This window comes from Homo sapiens, chromosome 2 (assembly GCF_000001405.40).
Source record: "Homo sapiens chromosome 2, GRCh38.p14 Primary Assembly".
Taxonomy (NCBI): Eukaryota; Metazoa; Chordata; class Mammalia; order Primates; family Hominidae; genus Homo; species Homo sapiens.
Window position 1 is genome coordinate 97078503 of NC_000002.12, and position 24560 is coordinate 97103062.

Here is a 24560-nt window from a genome sequence, read left to right on the forward strand (position 1 = left end):
TGTGACTATTAGTAAATGAGACATGCCCTAAGTAAAGCTGGGGGAGTGTGGAGTCCCAGTGGCTCATGAGGCACAGCTGCCACACCAAACCCGGATGGCCAAGCCTCTATCAAATTTTGTGTGAGCAAGAAGTATACTAACTTGTTTAGGTGACTGTTATTTGGGAGCTCTTCTGCCACCTTCAATTCAGCCTCTTTTTTTCACAAAATTATTGTTTATTCAATAAGAACACATTTATCTTGAAATACTTTTTTTTAAACTTTTATTTTAAATTCAGGGGTACATGTGCAGGATGTGCAGGTTTGTTACATAGGTAAACATGTGTCATAGGAGTTTGTTGTACATATTATTTCATCACCCAGGTATTAAACCTAGTATCCATTAGTTATTTTTCCTGATGCTCTCCCTCCTCACCCTCCATCCTCTGGTAGGCCCCAGTGTGCATTGTTCCTTTCTTTGCGTCCATATGTTCTCATCATTTAGCTCCCACTTATAAGTAAGAACATGTGGTATAATATTTGGATTTCTGTTCCTGCATTAGTTTGCTAAGGATAATGGCCTCCAGCTCCATCCATGTCCCTGCAAAGGTCGTGATCTTATTCTTACTTTTTATAACTGCATAGTATTTCGTGGTGTATATATACCACATTTTCTTTATCCAGTCTATCATTGATGGGCATTTAGATTGATTCCACATCTGTGCTATTGTGAATAGTGCTGCAATGGACGCATGCATGCATGTGTCTTTATAATAGAATGATTTACATTCCTTTGGTTATATACCCAGTAATAAGATTGCTTGGGTGAATGTTATTTATTTCTCTAGGTCTTTGAGGAATCATCACACTGTTTTCCACAATGGTTGAACTAATTTATATTCCCATCAACAGTATAAAAGTGCTCCTTTTTCTCCATAACCTTGCCAGCACCTGTTATTTTTGGACTTTTTAATAATCACCATTCTGACTGGTGTGAGATAGTATCTCACTGTGGTTTTTAATTTGCATTTCTCTACTGATCAGTGATGTTGAGCTTTTTTTCATATGATTGTTGGCTGCATGTATGTCTTCTTTTGAAAAGTGTCTTTTCATGTCCTTTGCCCACTTTTTAGTGGGGTTGTTTTGAATTTGTTTAAATTTCTTTTTTATTTTATTTTTTCTTTTCTTTTCTTTTTTTTTTTGAGACGGAGTCTCACTCTTTTGCCCAGGCTGGAGTGCTGTGGTGCAATCTCGGCTCACGGCAACCTCCACCTCCTGGGTTCAAGCAATTCTTCTGCCTCAGCCTCCCGAGTAGCTGGGAGTACAGGCATGCACCACCACGCCCAGCTAATGTTTATATTTTGACTAGAGATGTGGTTTCATCATGTTGGCCAGGCTGGTCTTGAACTTCTGACCTCAGGTGATCCTCCTGCCTTGGCCTCCCACAGTGCTGTGATTACAGGTGTGAGCCACCATGCCCAGCCAAGTTTCTTACAGATGCTAGATATTAGACCTTTGTTAGATGCATAGTTTGCAAAACTTTTCTCTCATTCTTTAGGTTGTCTGTTTACTCTGCTGTTAGTTTCTTTTGCTGTGTGGAAACTCTTTAGTTTAATTAGATCCCATTTGTCAATTTTGGCTTTTGTTGCGATTGCTTTTGGCATCTTTGTCATGAAATCTTTGCCCATGTCTATGTTCCGAATGGTATTGCCTAGGCTTTCTTCTAGGATTTTTATAGTTTGGGGTTTTACATTTAAGTCTTTAATTCATCTTCAGCTGATTTTTTTATTAGGTGTGAGGCTGGAGTCCAGTTTCAATTTGCACATATGGCTAGCCAGCTTTCCCAGCACCATTTATTAGAGAATCCTTTCTCCATTGCTTGTTTTTGTCAGGTTTGTCAAATATCGGATTGCTGTGGGGGTGTAGTCTTATTTCTGGGTTCTCTATTCTGTTCCATTGGTCTATGTGTCTTTTCTTGCACCAGTGCCATGCTGCTTTGGTTACTGTAGACCTGTAGTATAGTTTGAAGTTGAAGAGCATGATGCCTCCAGATTTTTCTTTTTGCTGAGAATTGCCTTGGCTCTTCAGGCTCTCTTTGGGTTCCACATGAATTTTAAAATATTTTTTTTTCTATTTCTGTGAAGAACTTCCATGGTAGTTTAATGGGAATAGCATTGGATCAATAAATTACTTTGGGCAGTATGGCCATTTTCATAATATTGATTCTCCCTATACATGAGCATGGAATGTTTTTCCATTTGTATCCTCTCTGATTTCTTTGAGCAGTGGTTTGTTGTTCTCTTTGTAAAGGTCCTTCACTTCCCTTGTTACCTGAATTGCCAGGTACCTTATTCTTCTTGTAGCAATTGTGAGTGGGAGCTCACTCATGATCTGGCTCTCAGCTCGATTGTTGTTGGTGTATAGAAATGCTATAACAATTTTTGCACATTAATTTTGTAACTTGAGACTTTGCTGAAGTTGCTTATCAGCTTAAGAAGCTTTGGGGGCTGGGCGCGGTGCCTCATGCCTGTGATCCCAGCACTTCTGGAGGCCGAGGTGGGATGTGTGTGCAGTGGTGAAGGGAACGGCTCCTTCCTCATAATGGACCCTCCGCCCCCAGCCTGTGCAGTGCGGGGGCTGCTGGCAGGCAGAGTGCCGCCCCAGGGGCCCTGGGAGCTGCAGGGCATATTGCTGCTGAGCCAGAATGAGCTGTACCGCCAGATCCTGCTGCTGATGCACCTGCTGCCGCAAGACCTGCTGCTGCTAAAGGTCAGGCCTCCCCTACGGCCCACTTGGTCCTAGGCCTTCCCCTCTTGGTGGTAGGAATGGCCCATCCCTGCCCATGCTCTACCTCTGAAACCTCCTGGGTGGTAGGTCTGGCCTTGCCCGGTCTTTGGCTAGGCCCCTGCCCATGTGCCTGGCTCTCCTGAGGCCACATGGGTGCCTTTTTCTCCCAGCCCTGCCAGTCTTCCTACTGCTACTGTCAGGAGGTGCTGGACAGGCTCATCCAATGCGGGCTCCTGGTTGCTGAGGAGGTAGGCAGGGCAGTTGGAGACAAGATCCTTGCCTGGAGCCTGGCCTCCTCCAGCCTCCCACCCTGAGTGCCAGCTGCCCCAGGCTCCTCCTCTGCCCTGTGTGTGCTGTGGGGGTGGGCAGCCCCTGGCCTTGCAGCGGGGAAGCCTAGCTCGCACCTCTGCTCCCTGTGCCTTGGGATATGGCCACCTATGCCCCGGTTCTGTGTGTGTCTCTCTGGATAGCACTGGACATGTGTGCCTCTGAGGTTCTCTGCACACCTCCTGCTCCCCACATTTCTTGGCCACAGGGCTACTGCCCTTGAGGGTGGGAATTCACTTCCTCTCACTCTGCAAGTTGGCCCAGCAGGTGCTGGGGCATGGCTCTGGCCATCCTCTTGGGTCTCTAGGTCTGCTTTTACTGGTTTCACCTGCATGTACCTGGTCTGGGGGTGTAGGGTTGATCCCTGGCCAGCTTGTCAGAGAACAATGGCTCCGGGTCCGGCCAGCCTGTGACACAGGGCAACGGCGACTGAGCAGAAAGCTGCTGTGGAAACCGAGTGGGGATTTTACTGATAGTGACAGTGATGACTTCAAAGAGACCGAGGGCCAGTACTCCAGGGTGTGTTTCAAAAAGCTGCCCCTGGAGGGAGGTGGTAGGGAGGTGGTGGGGAGCTGCACTCACCCCGGCCTGTCCCCTCCAGCTCAGCCAGCAGTCACACTGCCCAGATTTCTTTCTTTTCCTCTGCCGCCTGCTCAGCCCGCTGCTCAAGGCCTTTGCACAGGCTGCCGCCTTCCTCCGCCAGGGCCAGCTGCCCGATACTGGTGAGGCCCTTGTTCCCTTGCAGTCCTCGAGGCAGGCTGTGTCTGTGCTGGGTGCCAGGTCTAGGTCTTCTCTCTTCTGCAGAGTCGGGCTACACAGACCAGCTGTTCCAGTTCCTGCAGGCCACCGCCCAGGAAGAAGGGATCTTCGGTGAGTCTCAACCAGTCAGCCCAGGCTCCTGCAGGCAGTGGTGTTTGCTGGTGGCTGCTGCCCCCTGCCAGACAGTGACAACCCAAGTCTAGGAAGGTGGGCTGCAGAGTACAGACAGTCTTCTGTCCAGTCTGAGTTCTATCCCTCCCGGGGCTTCTTTAAACAAGAGGAGAGAAGCCTGTGCCCAGTGGCTCCCTGTCCTCCCTACCTAGAGCCTTCACTTCTCTCTTCTTTCCAGAGTGTGCGGACCCAAAGCTTGCCATCAGTGCTATCTGGACCTTCAGAGACCTAGGGGTGAGAGGAGCCAGTGTCACCATCTTCTGTCCCCCTGCTCCCACCCCAATAGAGTGGCTCAGGGAAACCCAGCTATGTCCCCATCACTCCACAGGGCTGGCCTGATGGTGCCTCATTAAGACCCTGGGATTTACTTGGTGTCTTCCAGCAACAGATGTGGTGATGGGTTGGAGAAGGTGGGATGGTTTCCTGCCTCTTGGTCTCCCAAATCACTGGCTCATCTTTCTAGGTGGGGCTGCTTTGCGGCAGCATTTGCATGCAAACACTGAGGTCTAAGGGGCCAGAGGTCTCAAGGCAGGTTTCTGGGGGACAGGCCTGGCCCCTGAGCCATGCAGACACAGTCCCTGTGGTGAGCGCACTCATGGCGCATCTTCCATGGCCCAGGTTCTGCAGCAGACGCCGAGCCCTGCAGGCCCCAGGCTCCACCTATCCCCTACTTTTGCCAGCCAGGACAATCAGGAAAAACTAGAACAGTTCATCCGGCAGTTCATTTGTAGCTAGAACTGTGAGGAGGAGCCTGTGCTGAGACTTCTCAGCCCCAGAACACAGCTGTGTCCTAGAGCCAGAAGATGGAGAGGAGGCTGCAAACCCTTAGCTGCTCTATAAATATAATCATTGAGGCTTGATTGTCCCTTGCCATCTCTTGCTTTTTCCCTCCTTTGATGTGATAAACAAGGGGACGAGACGAGTTGTCTTTTCCCCAGCCCAGCAGCATCTTTTTGGCGTATGTGTGTGTATTTGCTCTCTTCTTCCCAGTCCCACAAAATGCCCCAACTTGTTCCATGAAACAAAGCCCAAAAGAAGACAAACAGCACAAGCCAAGCTGCTGCTTTGACCCGACGCATTTATTGAAGAGAGCTCTGTCCTTCTCCCTTCTACCGAGAAGAGGCGGCTTGCAGGGCTGGCACCTGCCCACACCTGCCACTGGGCCTTTCCCTGGGCTAGGCTGAGTGGGAGCAGATGCCCTCATCCTATGTCGGGCCTGTGCAGGAGCCATCACACCACCTTGTTGATGATGACACCTAGTTCTTCAATCTCACACTGGACTTCATCCCCCTTCTGCAACAGAGCAGGCCATGACGGTGTCAGCCCTTCCGTCAGACACATACACAAGCCTGTACTTCTCAAGTCTGAGCCAAGCCTGCCAGGCCTTTGGGGCCCTTGCTCTCTTTGCTTTTCGCTAACCTACCTTGAGAAAGACAGGAGGTTTCCTGAATACACCGACACCTGGGGGGGTCCCAGTTAGGATGACATCCCCTGGGTAAAAGGTAACAAACCTGGAGCAAAGCAAAAGGACCCAGTGAGACCAGGGGCTGGCTGAGTGGCCACAGCCAAAGGTGGAGGGCTCAGGTCAGCCTCCACATGTGTGGCAGGTGGAGCGGGGCTGGCAGGACAGCCCTTGTCACTCACTGGGAGACCCAGGCTATCAGGTCCTCTGTCTTGAATACCATCTGGTTGGTGTTGCTGCTCTGGACGACTTCCCCATTCACTCGGCAGCAGATCTTTAAGTTGTGTGGATCTGAAATGCAAAGATGGAACCTTGGAGTTATCCCTTTTCCCCCTCAAACCCCCCAGTGTTTTACAAACACAACTGTAGGGGCGCTTCGTGACTTGGCAGGTGAAAGGGCTTTAAAGTGCCCACATTGACTCAGTGCACTATGTTAGAACTTTCTGTATAGACACTGGCCTTCTCAGGCCTCCCTGCATCCCCACCAAGAGCACCAGGCAGTAGTCACTTGAATGAGTTGAGAGGATGTTCCAGACTCTGAAGGAGAAGAGAAAAATGGCTAGGGTTTTTGCCTCAAGAAAGGGCATCTGTCTACAGCATAGGAAGATACCTGTAGATACAAAAATGACTCCCGGGCAGGGCCAAGCGTGGTGGCTCACACCTGTAATCATAGCACTTTGGGAGGGCAAAACAGGTGAGAACTGATTAAGCTCAGGAGTTCAAAACCAGCCTGGGTAACACAGTGAGTGCTTGTCTCTATGCAAAATAATAAAAACATTAGTCAGGCGTGGTGGTGCGTGCCTGTAGTCCCAGCTACTCAGGAGGCTGAGGTGGGAGAACCGCTTGAACCCAGGAGGTTGAGGCTTCAGTGAGCTGGGATTGGGCCACTGCACTCTAGCCTGGGTGACACAGTAAGACCATGCCAAAAAAAAAAAAAAAAAGACTCAGAATCTATAAAGCAGTGAGGCAGTGGTTCTAGCCGGGACAGAGAAGCCTCGTGTATCAGCCGCTGGCAGGGGATGGATTACTGTAAGAACATCCTGGCTAACCAGCACTTTTAACTGTTGGTGTTGGTCTTAGTGTTCTACCACCCTTAAGTAGAGCAGCTGAAACACAATTTAACTTTGCCGAGGACTCTGTGTGGGTGCTGTGAGGCACTGGGGTCTTTGGTATCCTGGCATGGCTGGCCCATGTGGACACCCCCCACCTCCACCACAGTTGTGGGTGGCTGTGTGTTAAGAGGCTGCGCTCTGCCCTCTGGCACACTGCCTCCAACCTGGCGCTGTCCCCTCACTGTGTGTGGTCAATGCTGTTGTTTCCACAGTGGCTGGGTGAGTCACACTGGCTTTCATCTGTAGTGTGGAAAATGCCTGGGCCTTGCGATAGCTATGCTCCATGATGCTCAACTTAGATTATTTCAGATGGTGGCAGCCGCAGGAAGCCCGATCCACCCATCAGCTCAGTGTTCTTTGTAATTTACTTCACGCATGCAGTTTCACATCCTCTGCAGTTGTGTTCCCTCTAGGGGGCTTGGGAAGGAAGCCCATGGGAGAACTGGTGGCTGAGGATAAAAGACTTTCCCTGTATGGAGTCAGCAGTCAAAGGGCAGCCAGGGAGGGCAGGTGCCACATGTACCTGAACCCATGCTCCTCCCTGGAGGGCTGTTCATCTGTGCAATGGTAGGTACCAGGGGGCAGGGACCAGGGACCTACCTGCTACACTGTCCTTGGTCACCAAGGCAGGGCCCAGAGGGCAGAAGGTGTCGAAGGTTTTTCCCAGCAGCCACTGTTTCCCATTGCGTCTTGTTAGCCAGTCACGAGCACTCACGTCATGAGCCACAGTGAAGCCGGCCACGTGGGCCATGGCATCTGTGGCCTATGGGGGCAGGGGATTTGGCCATACAGGAGGTTAGATCACGGGTGACACCAACACCTGTGGCAAGGGATCTCAAAGCTGTTATCCCATGTTAGTAGCCAGAGCCAGCCAAAGGTGGGTGAAGGGAAAGGCAGTGTCAGGGAGCAAGGAGGCTGACTGCTTCCTAGTGTCAGGGACAGCTGGTGCCGTGTGTCGGTGAGTGAGGTCAGAACTAGGAGAGGCAGGAGCTGGGGCCTCTGCTGCACTCTGGCCTGGGAGCCCACCCTTTCCACCTCACCTTGATGTGCTTGCCTTTCTTTCCAATGACCACGGCCAGCTCCACTTCCCAATCTACCTCCTGTAGGGTGGGAGAGGAATAGTGAGCCGCAGTGGCTTCGGGGCCCATTATCTATGCTCAGAGGCTGTACGCCATGGATCTCTGTCAGTATGGCTTGGCTGCCATCCCACGTTTGCCATCACCCTGAACCAGAGCCCAGTGAATGACAAGGGAGGTGTGACTTGTAGACCCATACATTTTGGGCAGTGGCAGACAGCATCATGGAATACAGGCACAGGTCCCCACACCACTGTGACTGCAGAAGAGCAACACGTGTCCAGGGCACTGAGTTTAAAAGTCACTCTGGATACTTTTAACAAAGGATAAATACGAAGTAATATCCCCTAGCAATATGTAACCTTACTGTGTGTCAGGCACTGTTCTAAGTGTTTTAATCTATTAACTCACTTTAGTAAGAGAAAGATTGACATGCCACAAAGGACTTGAGTAAGCAATTCACAAAAAGGTAACGGACATGGCCACAAAACATGAAAAAATGCTCAGCCTCTCCCATAATCCATAAAATACACTATAAAATAGATATAATTTGGCCTTCAAAATTGGTGGCTCTTTCTAATAATAACCAGAGTTGGTATAAGTACACCTGACATCCAGATGTTGGTCTCTAATACCACTCCCCACTAAGGAGCACTGGGTTCCTTGGTCCAAGACAGACAGTACATGATGAGCCTGGAACGTCTTGGCCAGAAAGCAAATATATGCTAAAAGCTTGGGGATGGAACAAACTTGAAGGTCCCTCATTGGCCAAATTGAGGTCACCTGAAGAATGTAAATGATGGATTACAACCAATTGAATAAAAACAAAAAGGAATTCACAGTGATATTGAAGACACAGGAATAAAGAGGGAGGCAGCTTTTTTTCTTTTTTTTTGAGACGGAGTCTCACTCTGTTGCCCAGGCTGGAGTGCAGTGGTGCAATCTCAGCTCACTGCAAGCTCCGCCTCCTGGGTTCACACCATTCTCTCGCCTCAGCCTCCCGAGTAGCTGGGACTACAGGCACCTGCCACCACGCCTGGCTAATTTTTTGTATTTTTAGTAGAGATGGGGTTTCACTGTGTTAGCCAGGATGGTCTTGATCTCCTGAACTCGTGATCTGCCCGCTTTGGCCTCCCAAAGTGCTGAGATTTCAGGTGTGAGCCAATGTGTCTGGCCAGGCTTTTTTCATAGAAGAATGCCAGCTAACAAAAACTGCATGATTTAGAAAAATCATTGTTCTTGGCCGGGTGCAGTGGCTCATGCCCATAATCCCAGCACTTTGGGAGGCTGAGGCAGGTGGATCACCTGAGGTGAGGAGTTCAAGACCAGCCTGGCCAACATGGTGAAACCCTGTCTCTACTAGAAATACAAAAAATTAGCCAGGTGTGGTGGTGCATCCCTGTAATCCCAGCTACTAGGGAGGCTGAAGCAGGAAAATTGCTTGAACCTGGGAGGCAGTGGTTGCAGTGAGCTAAGATGGTGCCACTACATTCCAGCCTGGGTGACAGAGACTCCATCACAAAAGAAAAGAAAAGTCATTGCTCTTCATCCCCCAATGCAATAATGGGTCCAGTAAGGATGACTACAGGATCCTTGGATGAGAATCTATGGGGCAATAAGATAGTTATGTGATCTCAAACTACCACATAGATTGCTTGTTAATTACAAAAATGGAAATGCGTCTTCACAATGGAGGGACCTAGTGAACGTCAGCTAAACCAAGTGGTCAAATTCTGGGACCACTGACATGAGCCTCCCAGTCAGATGCAATGGGAAATGTATAACATCTTTGTAGATCTCTTGATAAAAATGCTTACCCTGACACTAATCATGAAGAAACAACCAGACAAACCCAGGATGTGAAACATGCTATGAGACAACTGGATTCTTCAAGGAAAGGGCAGGGGGGATTGTTTGAGGTCAGGAGTTGGCAAACTATGGCCAGCTCACTGTCTGCTATAATCAACTTTGATTGGAAACCCATCATTCATTTCTGTATCGTCCCTGGTGGTTTTCACACTATAACAGCAGAGTTGAATTGTTGCAAAACAGACCATATGACACTCAAAGCGTAATATTTACTAATTGGCTCTTGATATGGTTTAGCTCTGTGTCCCCACCCAAATCTCAACTTGTAGCACCCATAATTCTAATGTGCTATGGGAGGGACCCGGTGGGAGATGACTGAATCATGGGGGCAGGTCTTTCCCGTGCTGTTCTCATGATAGTGAATGGGTCTCACGAGATCTGATAGTTTTAAAAACGGGAGTTTCTCTGCACAAGCTCTTTTCTGCCTGCTGCTATCCACCTAAGATGTGACTTGCTCCTCCTTGCCTTCTGCCATGATTGTGAGGCTTCTCTAGCCACGTGGAACTGTAAGTCCAATTAAACCTTTTTCTTTTGTAAATTGCCCAGTCTCGGATATGTCTTTATTAGCAGCAAGAAAACAGACTAATACAGCCCTTTAAGAAAAAGTCTATGGAACCCTGTTCTAGGTTAAAACTACTAAAGAGATATAACTGAATACAGTGTGTGCCCTTGGTTGATCACAGAGCAACAAAGTAACCAAATTAAAAGTCATCTTTGGGGCAACTGGATTTCATATTAAATATCATTCAAGTTAATTTTCTTGGCTGTGATAATGGTATGGTCATGCAAGCCATTGTCCTTATAAAGTGTCTATTTCAGTTTTATGACAATATTTGCAATGTGTCACCCCAACCCCTGCCAAAAAAAAAATGTGTGTTTGCCATGTGAAGGGCAGGGAGAGGGCAAGGGAGAGAAAGCAAATACAGCAAATGTCTACAGTGAAACCAGGTGAAAAGTATATGAGCATTCACTGTATTATTTCAGCTTTTCTATAATTCCCAAGACATTTCTAAAATAAAAATTTGCGAGGAAAAGTAACCAGTGTTAGTAAGGGTATATACACTAACGATGGATGTGTAAGTTGCTCTTACAATTTGCTTAAAGGACAATTGGGAGATTTTCTCAAGGGTTTTGAAATACTGCCTGTAGTTTGATAATATTCAAATCCTAAGAGTTCATTCAAAGGAAATAATAAGGCCGGGTGTGGTGACTCACACCTGTAATCCCAGCACTTTGGGAGGCTGAGGCAGGCAGATCACAAGGCCAAGAGACTGAGACCATCCTGGCCAACATGGTAAAACCCCATCTCTACTAAAAATACAAAAATTAGGTGGGCGTGGTGGCATGCGCCTGTAGTCCCAGCTACTCGGGAGGCTGAGGCAGGAGAATCACTTGAACCCAGGAGGCGGAGGTTGCAGTGAACCAAGATTGTACCACTGCACTCCAGCCTGGCAACAGAGAAAGACTCTGTCTCAAAAAAAAAAAAAAAAAAAGGAAATAATAATATATTAATGGACATGCAAAGTCTTTTCTACATAAGGATGTTCATTGCGACATTTATTTATAGAAACCAAAAACTGGAAACAAGTATCCAGCAGTAAGGTACTCAGGAATATAAACTACCCTGTACATCACAAAACTCCAAGGTAACCTAAATATGTCAGGGAGAATATTTAATGGCATGAAAAAATGCTCCTGATGGAGTCTTAAGTAAAAGGTAAGTATATGTACAGTATAAACATATACAGGAGTGGAGAAACACTGGGAAGGTAGACAGAAAAACATTAATATTCCGAGCCATGGGCAGTGGGATTATGGGTGACGTAATTTTTAAATGTTTATCTCTGTTTTATCTACAGTGAAGGTGTATTGCTTTTGTAACCAGGAAAACACGTACATTAACTTTTTTTTTCCAAGGCCAGTGTTACTACTGTGTGTATAATCCTGTAGAGTTTCTGTTGAATGCACTACTGAGCGAGAGGTGGCTCCAGTAGGCTCAATACTGAGCTCAGAATGCCCTTGTGATGGGCCCAGTGACTAGGGAGGGCAGTGGGGAGGCACTGACCTGGCTCTGTGGTGGGAGGACCACCTCATCATAGGGCCCCACGATGGAGCTGGCAAACTTGCTGAAGATGATGGGCTCCTTGGGCACGGGCACGTTCTGTTCTTTGCAGTGGTCCACATAATTCATGCCCACACACACCACCTTATCTGGCCATGTGACTGGAGCCAGGAAGGTTACCTCCGACCATGGTAGGACTGGCAACTGGGCAGCCAAGGCTCTGTAGAGACCAGAGCAGGTGAGAGGGTCTGGCTGGGAACAGGTGGGCAATCCCGGGCAGGCTGGGCAGATCCTGCAGCAGCTACAGGTTTTGCTTTTTGAAATCTATTTCCTAGCTCTATCAACCATCAGAGTCAGTGTGAAAACCACTGACTATTGTCCTTTGCTGTCAGAGCAGGGCTTTTATTTATCCAGTATTGATTTCCTCTCCCCCTTAGGTAACTCATGTCCATGTAAAAGATACAAACTGGAATACATGGAAAGGTCTCCCTTTCCCCTTCTGGTTACCCCGTTCCCCTGGCTCTTCGCAGCTACTCTATGGATATTCTTCTCCCACCCTTTTGTATGTAATGATAGCATACTATTTACATCTTTTAAAAAAACAACTGACTTTGGAGATCTCTGCTTAACAATATGTAACAATACATAGAGAGTGTCCTCTTTATTTCTTGTGGCTGCATATTACTGCTCTATAGAGATATACCCAAGTCCCTAATGAGGGGCATGGAGATTTCCAGTCTTTGCAGAATATGGCAATATGGGAACATACTGTTAATACTGTGAGCTGTGAAACATTTGTATTTTTTTCCATTTTAATAGATGAAAATGACATCTTAAAGTATTTTTAATTTATTGTTCATCAGCTCCTTAGACCAGATTCTATAGGGGTCCAGGCTTCAGGGACACTCTCACCTAATCTAGTCCAAACCCAGGAACCAAGTGTCTTATAGAAAACCTCCTTGCAGTCCTCTCTCCTTGTAGGAGCTGGGAGTCTATATCACTCCCCCAGCTGCATAAGATGCCTTTTAGGACCCCCGGGCCCAGACCCGTCAGTCAGTCCAGGACTTCATTCCCAGAGGAGGCAGTGTGATGAAGTATAGAGTCCTGGTTCCAGCACCACATGTATGGCCTTGAAATTGTTAATCACCTCCCCTAGCTCTCTGTTTTCTCCTCTGAAAACTGAAGATGTTATTATGTAAGATTTCTAAGGATCTTTTAAGAGAACGGGAGAAAAGGAAAGGTGGGGTTACTCTGCTCCCTTGCAAAAGAGCTACCTGCTGGTGCTGTTTCCCAGAGCGGGGAGGGTGCAGGGGGACCAGGGCAGCTGCTTCAGGGCGATGCTGCCCACTTACTTACCTTCTTGCCACTGAGAGGGTGGCCTCTCCCTGCTCTAGGAACTGCGTCATCGTCTTTGGGAGTGTGGGGTCAAAGGCATTGAGGTTGATAACCCCTCCACCATTCCCTGTCTCCAGGCCCAAGTGAGGCCCCACCAGGTGGGGTGCCCGGAACTGCACTAGTCTCATGTCTCTGGAGGGTTGAAAGGGCCACTTCTGAGCCTGCAGCAGAGCTGTGAGTAATCTTCTTCTACCAGACACCAGCATCAGAGCCTGCAGAGAAAAACACAGGATCCAGGAGATGGAGGATCTCAGAGCCATCATCAGCATCCCTGATATTCCTAGGGCTATAGCCCAAGGCCCTTTGCCCCATCAACCGTTCCCTGCATACCACACGGGAAGCGGTCCAGGCTTGTATTTTACCTGCTATACTTCATAAGGTGAAACTTTTGTAGAGGAGCAACTACTACATGCTACGCAGTAAGTCCCAGGGATTCCAGCGTTCCTTCAACCAGTGCTTTCTGAAAGTTCCCACTGTGCTTGGCTCTGCTGTAGGTATTGGGGAAACAATGTAGGTCAAACTCAGCCCTGCCATTCTCCCTGCACAGGTCACAGATGTTAACAACTGACGTAAGATTCAGCTATCAGGACTAATGCTGTGAAGATGGTCAGGGGCTCTACCCTTGTCTAGTTTCTGGAGGAAGTGATGTGAGCTGAGCTGGGCTAAATGAGCAGGACCAGGAATTAGCTGGGTGGCAGCCTAGCATGGGCAAGTGACGCTGGTGAAACTGGCTTCACAGTGGCCATAAGCAATTTTTTAAATGCTATTTTGGTCCTGTTTAAAATGGTTTCCACTGCTCACATGATCAAGCTAGAACCTCTACCAGGCTGTCCTTGTCTTCTAGGAGCAACACCCCCACCTGCCTCCCCAGATAATAATTATTTCATTTCTCCTGATAGAGAACAAGTTGCCTGAGGGAAGAGGCTGCAGACAAACAGCAAGGTCTAGGCCTGACAGCCATCACTTGGTCATCTCCTCCCTGGATCCAGGGCACATGTCTGTCTCTTTCACTGCCCAGCACTGTGCCTGGTGCACAGAAGGCTCTCAGTGACTTTCTGCTAAATGAACAAATAAGTGACAGAAGCAGGGGCTTGACATTTCACTACTTGGGAAAGCTTAATGCTTGTTAACTTCAGGAGACATGGCTGTGCCTTTCCTCCTCAAATCACCTAGAAAGTATCCACAAGGGCCAGACGCAGTGGCTCACACCTGAAATCCCTAGCACTTTGGGAGGTCGAGGTGGGTGGATCACTTGAGGTCAGGAGTTCAAGACCAGCCTGGCCAACATGGTGAAACCCTGTATCCCCTAAAAATGCAAAAAAATTAGCCAGGACTGGTGGCGGGCACCTGTAATCCCAGCTACTAGGGAAGCTGAGACAAGAGAATCACTTGAACACAGGAGGCAGAGGTTGTAGTGAGCCAAGAACATGCCACATCCCTCCAGCCCAGGCAACAGAGCGACTCCAAAAAAAAAAAAAAAAAAAAAAAGAAATTATCCACAGAGCTCAGGTCCTGTTTTGAGTCCAAGGCTCCACTTAAAGACAAACACTATTCTCTTGTTTTGTTCTGAATCCAAGTCTGGCCACTATTCCTTACCACATGGTGCCTTCCCTGAATGGTTCCTTGCTCTTCCAACAAAGGCAGTTTGTATTGTACAGCCTTCTATGCCCAAAAATGTTGAGGCAGCTGAGCCCCAGACTCTTGGTCCTCACTTGGAGATTCAATCTGCCTTGTTCAGTTAAAGACTCATTAGACTTAGGTCACCACTGTTGTGGCCCGCCAGTTTGACTAGAAAACAGAGTTTTGACTTCTCTGCCCTGCTATCTTACACAAGCACCAACTGTGCCACTGTCAAAAGGCTGTTCGAGCCAAAGTGCACACACTCAGACACTCCACATGCTAACATAACAGTAACTGCTGCCGCTGAATGCCAACTATTAAGTGCTCTACCTACAATGTCTGATTTAATTCTTTTTTTTTTTTTTTTTTTTTGAGATGGAGTCTCGCTCTGTCGCCCAGGCTGGAGTGCAGTGGCGCAATCTTGGCTCACTGCAAGCTCTGCCTCCCGGGTTCATGCCATTCTCCTGCCTCAGCCTCCCCAGCAGCTGGGACTACAGGCGCATGCCGCCACGCCCGGCTAATTTTTGTATTTTTAGTAGAGACGGTGTTTCACTGAGTTAGCCAGGATGGTCTCGATCTCCTGACCTTGTGATCCGCCCACCTCGGCCTCCCAAATTGTTGGTATTACAGGAGTGAGCCACGGCGCCCGGCCTGATTTAATTCTTGACGCTTGTGGAAGGTAGGTACTGTTAGTCCCATTTTACAGATGAAACAGTTAAGGCTTAAAGCGGTTAAGGGATTTGCCCAAGGTTACACAGTCTTAAAGCTAGGAGGGGAGGGAGCTGGGATGTGAATCCAAGTCCAGGTGACATTGAAGTCCTTGGTTCAGAAGCCTGTAATGCAAGCAAGAAAATCTAGCTTCAGCCCCATCTTCCTACCAAGGACATTTTAACCCAGAATGTTGTGGTGAGAAGTGGGGACCTTCCATAGGAAATCCTCCAAAGGCCCTAAAGATTGTAGTGAGAAGTAGGGACCTCCCACAGGAGATCCTCCAGAGGCCCTGCAAACAGCCATGCGTGGGGAAACTACAGGCGCTCTCTGGCTATTGCCTCAGGGACGAGGCTGGTTACCAGCTCTCCAAGAGAACTCCAGGCCCCATTGACTGTTCCCTTCCCACATGACACACACATGCAGGTTCATTCCAACCTTACAGCAATCCCCTCAGGTAAAGCGCCCTCACTTTACAGAAGAGGACACTGAGACTCAAAGGGATGACGTCAGGTGCCCAAGGTACTAGTCAGAAAGTGGCCCTGGGGCTTCTGCAACAACCACTATGTCACACAGTCCGAGCTCAATCCAACTCTGCAAGAGTCCATAAGCAAAGGGGCGGCGACGTGAGGTGGAAACAGTAGCCTGAAACGTGGGTGTGCACGTCGGATCCCATCCCACCGTCCACTCGCCTGGAAACCCCCAGTTTCCCCATATGCCCAGCTTCGTCCCCTGCAATTAGTGAGGGCTCACATGGGTCCGCCCCATCCGTGTGGTCGGAAACGGCCGGGAACCTGGTTCTAGTTCTGCCCTCCGCGGGAGACCTGCGCCAGGGACACCCTTCTGGCCTAACCCAGCCAGGCCTGGTCTACCTGGCGGCGGCGGCGGCGGCAGCCGGTCCTCCTGCGCTGAGTTAGGGCTCGCGGGGCGGGAGGTCAAGGGCAGCGGGCGCCTGAGCACTGGCACCAGTCACCGCATCCAGCCGGGGAACTACAGCAGCGGCGAAGTCACTGCCGCTCGGTGCGCACTCCAGCGAGAAGCGGGCGCGTCCTGTGACGTCACAGGCAACCACCCCTAGCAGGGCACCAATCCCGGAGGGCGGGCCCAGTGCGGGGCGGGCGGCGCCGGGGGCTCTTCAGGCTCAGGGCATAGGCAGGCGGCGGCCGCGTTTTCTGGAGACGGTCGCTCTCGGAGGGACCCTGCAATTGCCCGAGACCGAGAGTGGGCGCTGCCTGAAAGTTTGTCCCTGGGCGCTTCGCTGGCCTCATCCGGTCTCGGCCTTGTTCTGGGCCTGGCGCCTTTCCCATTGTTGGGGAAAGTGGTCTAGGAGACCAAGGCAGCGTGCTGGGTGGGAGAGAATGATTTGTGGCTTCTGATTCTGACATATGTCGTTAAGGAGGGGAGGGATGAGTGACCCTGTTTTACTTATGGAGAACCTGGGGCCAGAGCTGTTTTCCCAGGGTGACACAGGCGGTGAGTAGTGGAGCTGGCATTCCTGACCCCAAAGCTCAGCGTTTCCCAGCCACTCTCCGCAGCCAGGCCTTCACCTGCACTGCTGGGCGCAGGTGGGGAAGTGGGGAAACGGTGCTCCATCCCCTGCAGAGGGCAGGCGTGCGGGGAGCGGTGGCTGAACTCCACAGACAGCTACTGCTCAGCTCTTCAGCTGCCGGCTTTGAAGAGTGTGAGGGGCTCTGGGCAAGAGGCCCCCACATTACTCAAGGACCAGATCATCAAGAGCTTTACTTGTCCCACAAAGGAGTCTGGACCTCGTTTAAGTGCACAGGAGACCGCTGGAAGGTCCTCAGTGGCGTGCCATGGCCCGACTTCTATTTGAGAAGTTTTTCTCTGGCCACCCGTCTAAGGAAAGGTATCTGGGTGGGTGGTGCGGGTGAGAACAATGGTGGTGCGGTGCTTGGCGGAGAAGGTGAGTGTCCAGAGATGTTCAGGAAGAAGAACTGACAGCTCTGGATGACAGGAGGTGGAAGTGAGAAGGAAGCAGGTACAAGGCCGGCTCCTGGGTCTCTAGCCCGGTAGGTGCAGGGCCGTTCATGGAGACAGGGCTTCTGGAGGAGCAGCGGGTCTGGGGAGATGATAGTGAGCTCCAATTTGCATGGGACATCCAAAGGGCATTGAACGGTGGGCAGTTGGAGACGTGGGTCTGGAGCTTGGGACTTCAGCCTAGCTTGCAGAAAGTCACCACTGATATAGAAATGGAACCTATGGCCGGGTGCGGTGGCTCACACCTGTAATCCCAGCACTTTGGGAGGCCAAGGTGGGCGAATCAGATCAGGAGATCGAGACCATCCCGGCCAACATTATGAAACGCCGTCTCCACTAAATATACAAAAAATTAGCCGGGCGTGTTGGCGGGCGCCTGTAGTCCCAGCTATTCGGGAGGCTGAGGCAGGAGAATGGCCTGAACCCGGGAGGCAGAGCTTGCAGTGAGCCCAGATCACACCACTGGGGAACAGAGCGAGACTCTGTCTCAAAAAAAAAAAAAAAAAAAAAAAGAAATGGAGCCTATGGGGGTGGCTGTGATCAGGGGGATGTGCTGAGGAGAACCTGGCGTAAGTGTTTCATTAAGCCATAGCTCCCAAAGACTTTCTGAAAAGCTAAGTTACAGCCTGAAAGAAAAGATCTTCAGAGGCTATATTTGATAAAAGACTTGTATCCAGAATATAGAAAGAGCACTTAAAATCAATAGATAAAATCAAACAATTCAATTTTTTAAATGGACAAAATATTTAAACAGACACTTCACCAAAGAAGATATACAGATAGAAAATTGAAAGACATGAAAAGATGCTCAACATCATTAATAATTAAGGATATGCAAATTACAAGCACAGTGTGACACCGTCTCACACCTACTAGAATGGACAAAGAAGACTGATTATACCAAGTATTCGAAAGAATGTGGAGGACCTGGGATTCTTGTACACTGCTTATGGGATTATAAAATAGTATCACTACAATTGAAAATCATTTGGCAGTGTATGAAGAGAGTTAAACATACTCCTACCATATGACCTAGCCATTTCAATCCTAACTATTGACAGTATTGAGTTGCACCTTAGCCCTTTGCTCCTAGAAATAGTGAAGATTAAGGAATCCCTCCACTCCTTTGTTCCAGAAAACACCCTACTGGAAAGAACCAGTGACTTTCCATATAGCTTGGATAAGAATCCTGAATGTCCCCTCATGACCAGACCATACACAGACCCTCTAAATTCCCATTCTTGGCATCATAAATGATTAGCTGGACTGCTTGTTCCCACAGATCAATAAGAACAAAATGCCTGTAACCAAACCTTGGTTCAGATTCTCTCCTTCTCCAAGCCCCTGAGCTTTGGCCCACCCGCAGCTTGTGCCAACCCACCGCCCTCCTGAGGGTCCCTCCTGAGAACAGGCTATCTGCATGGTAAGACCTGCTCGATCATGACACTCTTGCTCAGCTCACTTTCCCATAACAGTTCTTTCTAGCCACGTTTACGCCTCCCTATACAAGGTCAGCCCTTTGCCTAACCTCTGAGACACTTGAGGATCACATCGTCAGACTGTCTCCTTATTGTAATAGTCCCCCCCCCAACCCCCACAACAATCCTTTTGAATAAATTCTCTTTTTATGGAATCCAGATTTATATTTTTGTTTGATAGTAATTACATGAGAAATAAGAAAAATATGCTCATGCAAAGATGTATTCAGAAGTGTTCACAGCAGGCTTTTTGTAAAATCCCCAAACTGGAAACCACCCAATTTTCCATTAACAGGTGAATGTGTAAACACTCTGTGTTTAGCCACACTAGGGAATACTACTTAGCAAGAAAAAGGGATGAATTGTTGATACAACATGGATATATATCAAGATAATTATTTGGAGTGAAAAAGGGTAGATTAAAAATGAGTACATATTGGATGATTTCATTTATATGGAGTATCCTTGGGGGATATCTTCAAAGACCCCTGGCGGATGCCTGAAACTGCAGATAGTACCAAACCCTACATCTGCCACATCTTTTCCTATACATTGATGCCAGTGAACAAATTTAATCCAGATGAAGTTAATCTGGTGCTACACGGTTGCTGTCAATCAGAATACGTTTCTGTTGACATCTTCCACTCACAAATCTAATGCTTTTTCTACCCTAAGCGCTTCTCACACACTGTAGCCATAAGTTTTGCACTTTGAGGTGTGACAGTAAAACTGGCACAAATTTCTTTTCCCTTCTTCACAATTTCATGGATAGAAGATTCATTCTTTCTGTAGATCTTAGCAACCTCATTATGTGATTTTTTTTTCCTGGAAGCTTGAGAGGGGCACATGTTAGCAAGAAGGAGCACAGCATCCCTGCCAGGTTATCTGTCCTACGTGTACCCTGGGCTAGACACACCCTCCTCTGGCTTGCTGTGGTCTGGCCTCACCCTGCGATGCAGGGGCTCCATCCACAGCCCTCTGTCCAGGAGCACCCAGGCTGTGCTTACATTTTTTCAGGGATAGGGAGCTCACTGCTGTGTGGGCAGCTGGGCCCAGTATTTTATGGGGAGGGGGAGAATGGAAGGCAACACTGTCTTCAAGTGTCATCACTGTCCTGGGCGCATGGAGCAGCCCAGGTAACAACGTGCCCTCGGTATTCCCTAATGCTGGGTAGTCCTTCCTGTCAGAATGTGCTTCCCATGATAACCTGAAGCCTGTGACTCCTAGCTGGTAGAAATGTCTTCAGCTTGCCCCTGGAGCTGTGCAGAACACATCTTGTCTTGCATTTTCTAATATGTTTGAATAAAACCAGCATGTCATTCCTCTGCCACCTCTCCCCTAGTTCCCTCACCTTTCTTAGACCTCACATCATTCTGATAATCTCCTTGGGGTAGATTCAATCACCGTTGGTCATCATCAGCTGTGCCTCCTCCTGCTGGAGCATGGGGTGTTCACATCTAGCTGAACTAAGGCCTGGCCATCAGACTTGTTTTGGCCGATGCTATGTGGGTAGGAGCATCATAGACCCCTTACAAGGCTTCTGTAAAAGCCGGCCTGTGTTTGCCATGTCTCTTTTCCCTCTGCTACTAGATAGAATGCTCTAAATAAAAACCACTCTGTCAGCTTGTGTTCCAGAGTAAAAACGCCATAGATGGAGCCACAGCCAACTCACATTGGATGTGGAATATGAGGGAGATGACACTGAGATTTGGGAGTCTTTTGTTATTGCAGCAAAACTCAGCCCATCCTGACTGATATGACTCATTTGCCAAAGTCTCTTAGAAAGTGGGATATCTCACCTTAAGAGGATGTGAATGGTCTGGAGTAGGATAGCATGCCCAATTCCTTGTCCAGAGATTATGGAAACATTTATGAATTCAGCATCTCTTACAGAAGCACATCATAATTACCTTGAGTGCAACCCATTCCTTATGTACATGAACAGCTGGCAGAAAATGACTTCCTCATTCTTCATCTAAGCAAAAGAGCATCTACACCTGAAGAGACCACTTGCCCTTCACTGACATTAAATTTCATCCTACTGACTCTGACCTATCTCCCTAGGCTGTTAGGCTTATTTTTTGAACATTGTATTATGAAATTTTCAAACATACAAAAAAGTTGGAAAAAAAAGTACAATGAAAACCTGTATACTCACCACCTAGACCTTACAATTTATGTTTTACTATAGTTGCTTTATCACATGTCTATCTATCCTTCCACCTATCTATCAATCCATCTTGTCTTTTGATGACTTTCAAAGTAAGTTATAGACATCAGTACACTTTCCCTGTCCCCCTCAAACATTTCAACATGCATACATTGGCTAAAGTTCAATATTTGTTTATGTTTTTTAGGTGTATACAGAGCTCTAACTGTCCTGTTCCATCCAAAGGGGGAAAACCAAGAAGCACTTGTGAAGTTAACATTTCAGAGACAGAGGATCACTAAAAGGCTGAGACCTAATCATAGGACTGTGATCACTCTTCTGTCCTTTGCCATCTTACTACGATATTACTGTAGGGCCTACTAACTGCAGTTCCTCTTACCCAGTACCTCATGTCTGATGTCAAGAAGAAAATTACAAGTCATACTAAAAGGCAAAACACAAAGTTTGAAGAAAAAGAGCAAGCATCAGACCCAGACTCAGATATGGCAGGAGTGTTAGACTTATCAGACCGGGAATTTAAAACAATTATAACTAATATACTAAGGGCTCTAATGAATAAAGTAGACAGCATGCAAGAACCTGTGAAGCAGAGAGATGGAAATCCTAAGAAAGAATAAAAAGAAAGGCTAGAGATGAGAAACACTGTTCTAGTGATGAGAAATGCCTTTGATAGGCCCATGAGTGTAATGGACATGGCTGAAGAAAGAATCTCTACGCTTGAGGATATATCAATAGAAACTTCCAGGACAGAAAAGCAAAGAACAAAGAGACTGAAAAAGTGAAACAGACTATTCAAGAACTGTGCGACAACTATGAAAAAAAATAACATACACATAATGGGGATGCAAGAAAGAGAAGAGAAACAAAGAGAAGAGAAAGAAACAGAAAAAATATTTAAAATAATAATAGCTTGAGCAACATAGGGAGACCCCATCTCTACAAGAAAATTAAAAAATTAGGGGTGCATGGTGCACACCTCTGGTCCCATCTACTCGGTGGGGTGAGGTGAAAGGATCATGTAAGCCCGGGAGGTCAAATCTGCAGTGAGCCATGATTGCACCACTGCACTCCAGCCTGGGTGACAGAGTGAGACCCTGTCTCAAAAAATAAATAGATGTGGTGGCACACACCTGTAGTCCCAGGTACTTGGGAGGCTGAGGCAGGAGGATCGCTTGAGTCTGTACAGGAGTTCTGGGCTGCAATGCACTATGCCGATTGGGTGTCTGCACTAAGTTTGGCATTAGTATGGTGACCTCTGGGGAAAGGCGGATAACCAGGTTGCCTAAGGAGGGGAGAACTGGCCCAGGTCAGAAACGGAGCAGGTCAAAATTTCCTTGCTGACCACACCTGTGAAAGGCCACTGCACTCCAGCCTGACCAACACAGCGAGACCCCACCTTTTAAATAAATAAACAAAAAAAGAATAATGACAGAGATTTTCACCAAATTAATATCAGGCACCAAACCATAGATCCAGGAAGCTCTGTGAACACCAACCAGAATAAATGCCAAAAAACTCCACCCAGGTATAGCATATTCAAAGTAGAAATCAAAGATAAATAAAACACTACTGGAGGCCAAGGCAGGTTGATCAGAGGTCAAGGTGGGTGTATCACTTGAGGTCAGGAGTTTGAGCCAGCCTGGCCAACATGGCAAAACCTCATCACTACCAAAAACACAAAAATTAGCTGGACATAAATGGTGGGCGCCTGTAATCCCAGCTACTTGGGAGGCTGAGACAGGAGATTCGCTTGAACCCAGGAGGTGAAGGTTGCAAGGTTGCAGTGAGCTGACATTGCACCACTGCACTGCAGCCTGGTGACAAAGTGAGACTCTTTTCCAAACAAACAAAGAAACAAACAAACAAAAACTATTGAAAGAAGCCAGAGGAAAAAGCCACCTTACCTATAGGGAGCAAAGATAAGGATAACATCTGTCTTCTCCTCGGAAACCATGCAAACAAGAAGAGTGTGAAGTGAAATATTTAACATCTTGAGTGAAAAAAATACACAACCTTGAATTCTGTACACTGTAAAATTATTCCTCAAAACTGAAGAATAAATACAGACTTTCTCAGACAAACAAAAATTGAGGGAATTTATTGTTAGTACATGTGCCTTGTAAGAAATACTGAAAGAAGTTCTTCCAAGGGAAAGAAAAACATACAAGTCAGAAACTTGGATCTATATAAAGAAAGAGAGCACTGAAGAAGGAATGAGTGAAGATAAAATAGTAACTTATTTTTTTATTCCAAATTGATCTAACAGATAACAGTTTGTTCAAAATAATAATAGCAAGAATGTATTCAATTATGTATTCATATATGTGTATATATATCTACAGAAACATATATACTTAAGTACATTTATGTATAAGTGAAATGAATGACAGTAGTGATATAAGAGATAGGAGGCAGGAATTGGGATTATTTTGTTATTATAAGGTACTTGGTACAACCCATGAGGTAGTATATGATATTTGAAAATGGATTTGCATTAGTTGTAGATGTATATTGCAAATCTAAGGAAAACACTAAAAGAAGTGAAAAAAATAAGAAGAAAAGTATTTTTTTTTTAAAGAAGTTGCCTTCTTCCACTTGGGCTGCTATAACAAAATAATTTTGACTGCATAATTTATAATTATGAGAAATTTATTTTTCATAGTTCTGGAGGCTGGGAGGTCCAAGATCAAGGCAAGAGCAGATTTGGTGTCTGATAAGGGCTCACTCTCTGCTTCCAAGATGGTACCTTCTTGCTGTGTCCTTGTGTGGTGGAAAAGGTGAATAGCCCCCTCTCACCTGTTTTATTACAGCACTAATCCACTAATGAGGGCTCCACCCTTATGACTTAATCACCTCCTAAGGGCCTCACTTCTTATATTGGTGATTAAATTTCAAGGGAACATATTGAGACCATAGCAGAAATATGTTGACAATGTATTTATTTTTTGGTCATATAAAATGTGGAACTAAAGTCACAAAAGGCAAAAAAAGAGTGGAAGACAAAAATATAGGAACAAATAAAAAGGCAACAAATAGAAAAACAGTAACAGATAAGGTAGATATTACTCTAACTATGTCAATAATCATTTTGAATGCAGTGGTCTAAATACACCAACTAAGACAGAGATTCTGCAAAGCAAAAAAACTATCGACAGGGTAAACACACAACCTATAGAATGAAAGCAAATGTTTACAACCTATGCATCTAACAAAAGTCTAATATCTAGAATCTATAAGGAACTTAAATCAACAAGGAAAAAACAAACAACCCCACTAAAAATGGGCAAAGGACATGAACACACACTTCTCAAAAGACACCTGCACAGCCAACAAACATATGAAAAAGTACTAAATATCAAAACCACAATGAGATACCATTTCACAACAGTCAGAATGGCTATTATAAAAGGTAAAAAAATAACAGATGCTGGAGAGGTTGTGGAGAAAAGAGAATGCTTATACACTGCTGGTCAGAACATAAATTAGTTCAGCCACTGTGAAAAGTAGTCTGGAGATTTATCAAAGAACTTAAAACAAAACTACCATTCAACCCAGCAATTCCATTTCTGAGTGTATACCCAAAGGGAT

General features: G+C 46.9%; 1 protein-coding gene and 2 pseudogenes across 14 annotated transcripts; 2 read left to right on the top strand and 1 right to left on the bottom strand.

Annotated features, from left to right (window-relative positions):
- Window positions 1-245: 245 nt before the first annotated feature.
- FAHD2B (fumarylacetoacetate hydrolase domain containing 2B) lies at window positions 246-16380 on the bottom strand. 14 transcript variants are annotated; one of them, XM_017003471.2, is made up of 10 exons: window positions 16199-16380; window positions 13361-13486; window positions 12960-13210; window positions 11607-11823; window positions 7637-7696; window positions 7197-7359; window positions 5667-5775; window positions 5446-5533; window positions 4171-4250; window positions 246-3928 (listed from the first exon to the last, which is right to left on the bottom strand). In XM_017003471.2, the coding sequence occupies exons 3-10, from the start codon at window positions 13202-13204 to the stop codon at window positions 3904-3906; spliced, it is 987 nt and encodes a 328-aa protein (XP_016858960.1). In that variant the 5' UTR covers window positions 13205-13210; window positions 13361-13486; window positions 16199-16380; the 3' UTR covers window positions 246-3903. The 14 variants fall into 14 exon arrangements, with proteins under 14 accessions (XP_016858960.1, XP_011509047.1, XP_011509048.1 ...); XM_011510745.3 differs by having other exon boundaries at window positions 246-4026; XM_011510746.3 differs by having other exon boundaries at window positions 246-4026; window positions 16080-16371.
- GPAT2P2 (glycerol-3-phosphate acyltransferase 2 pseudogene 2) lies at window positions 2934-4970 on the top strand (annotated as a pseudogene).
- Window positions 22085-22372, top strand: RN7SL313P (RNA, 7SL, cytoplasmic 313, pseudogene; annotated as a pseudogene).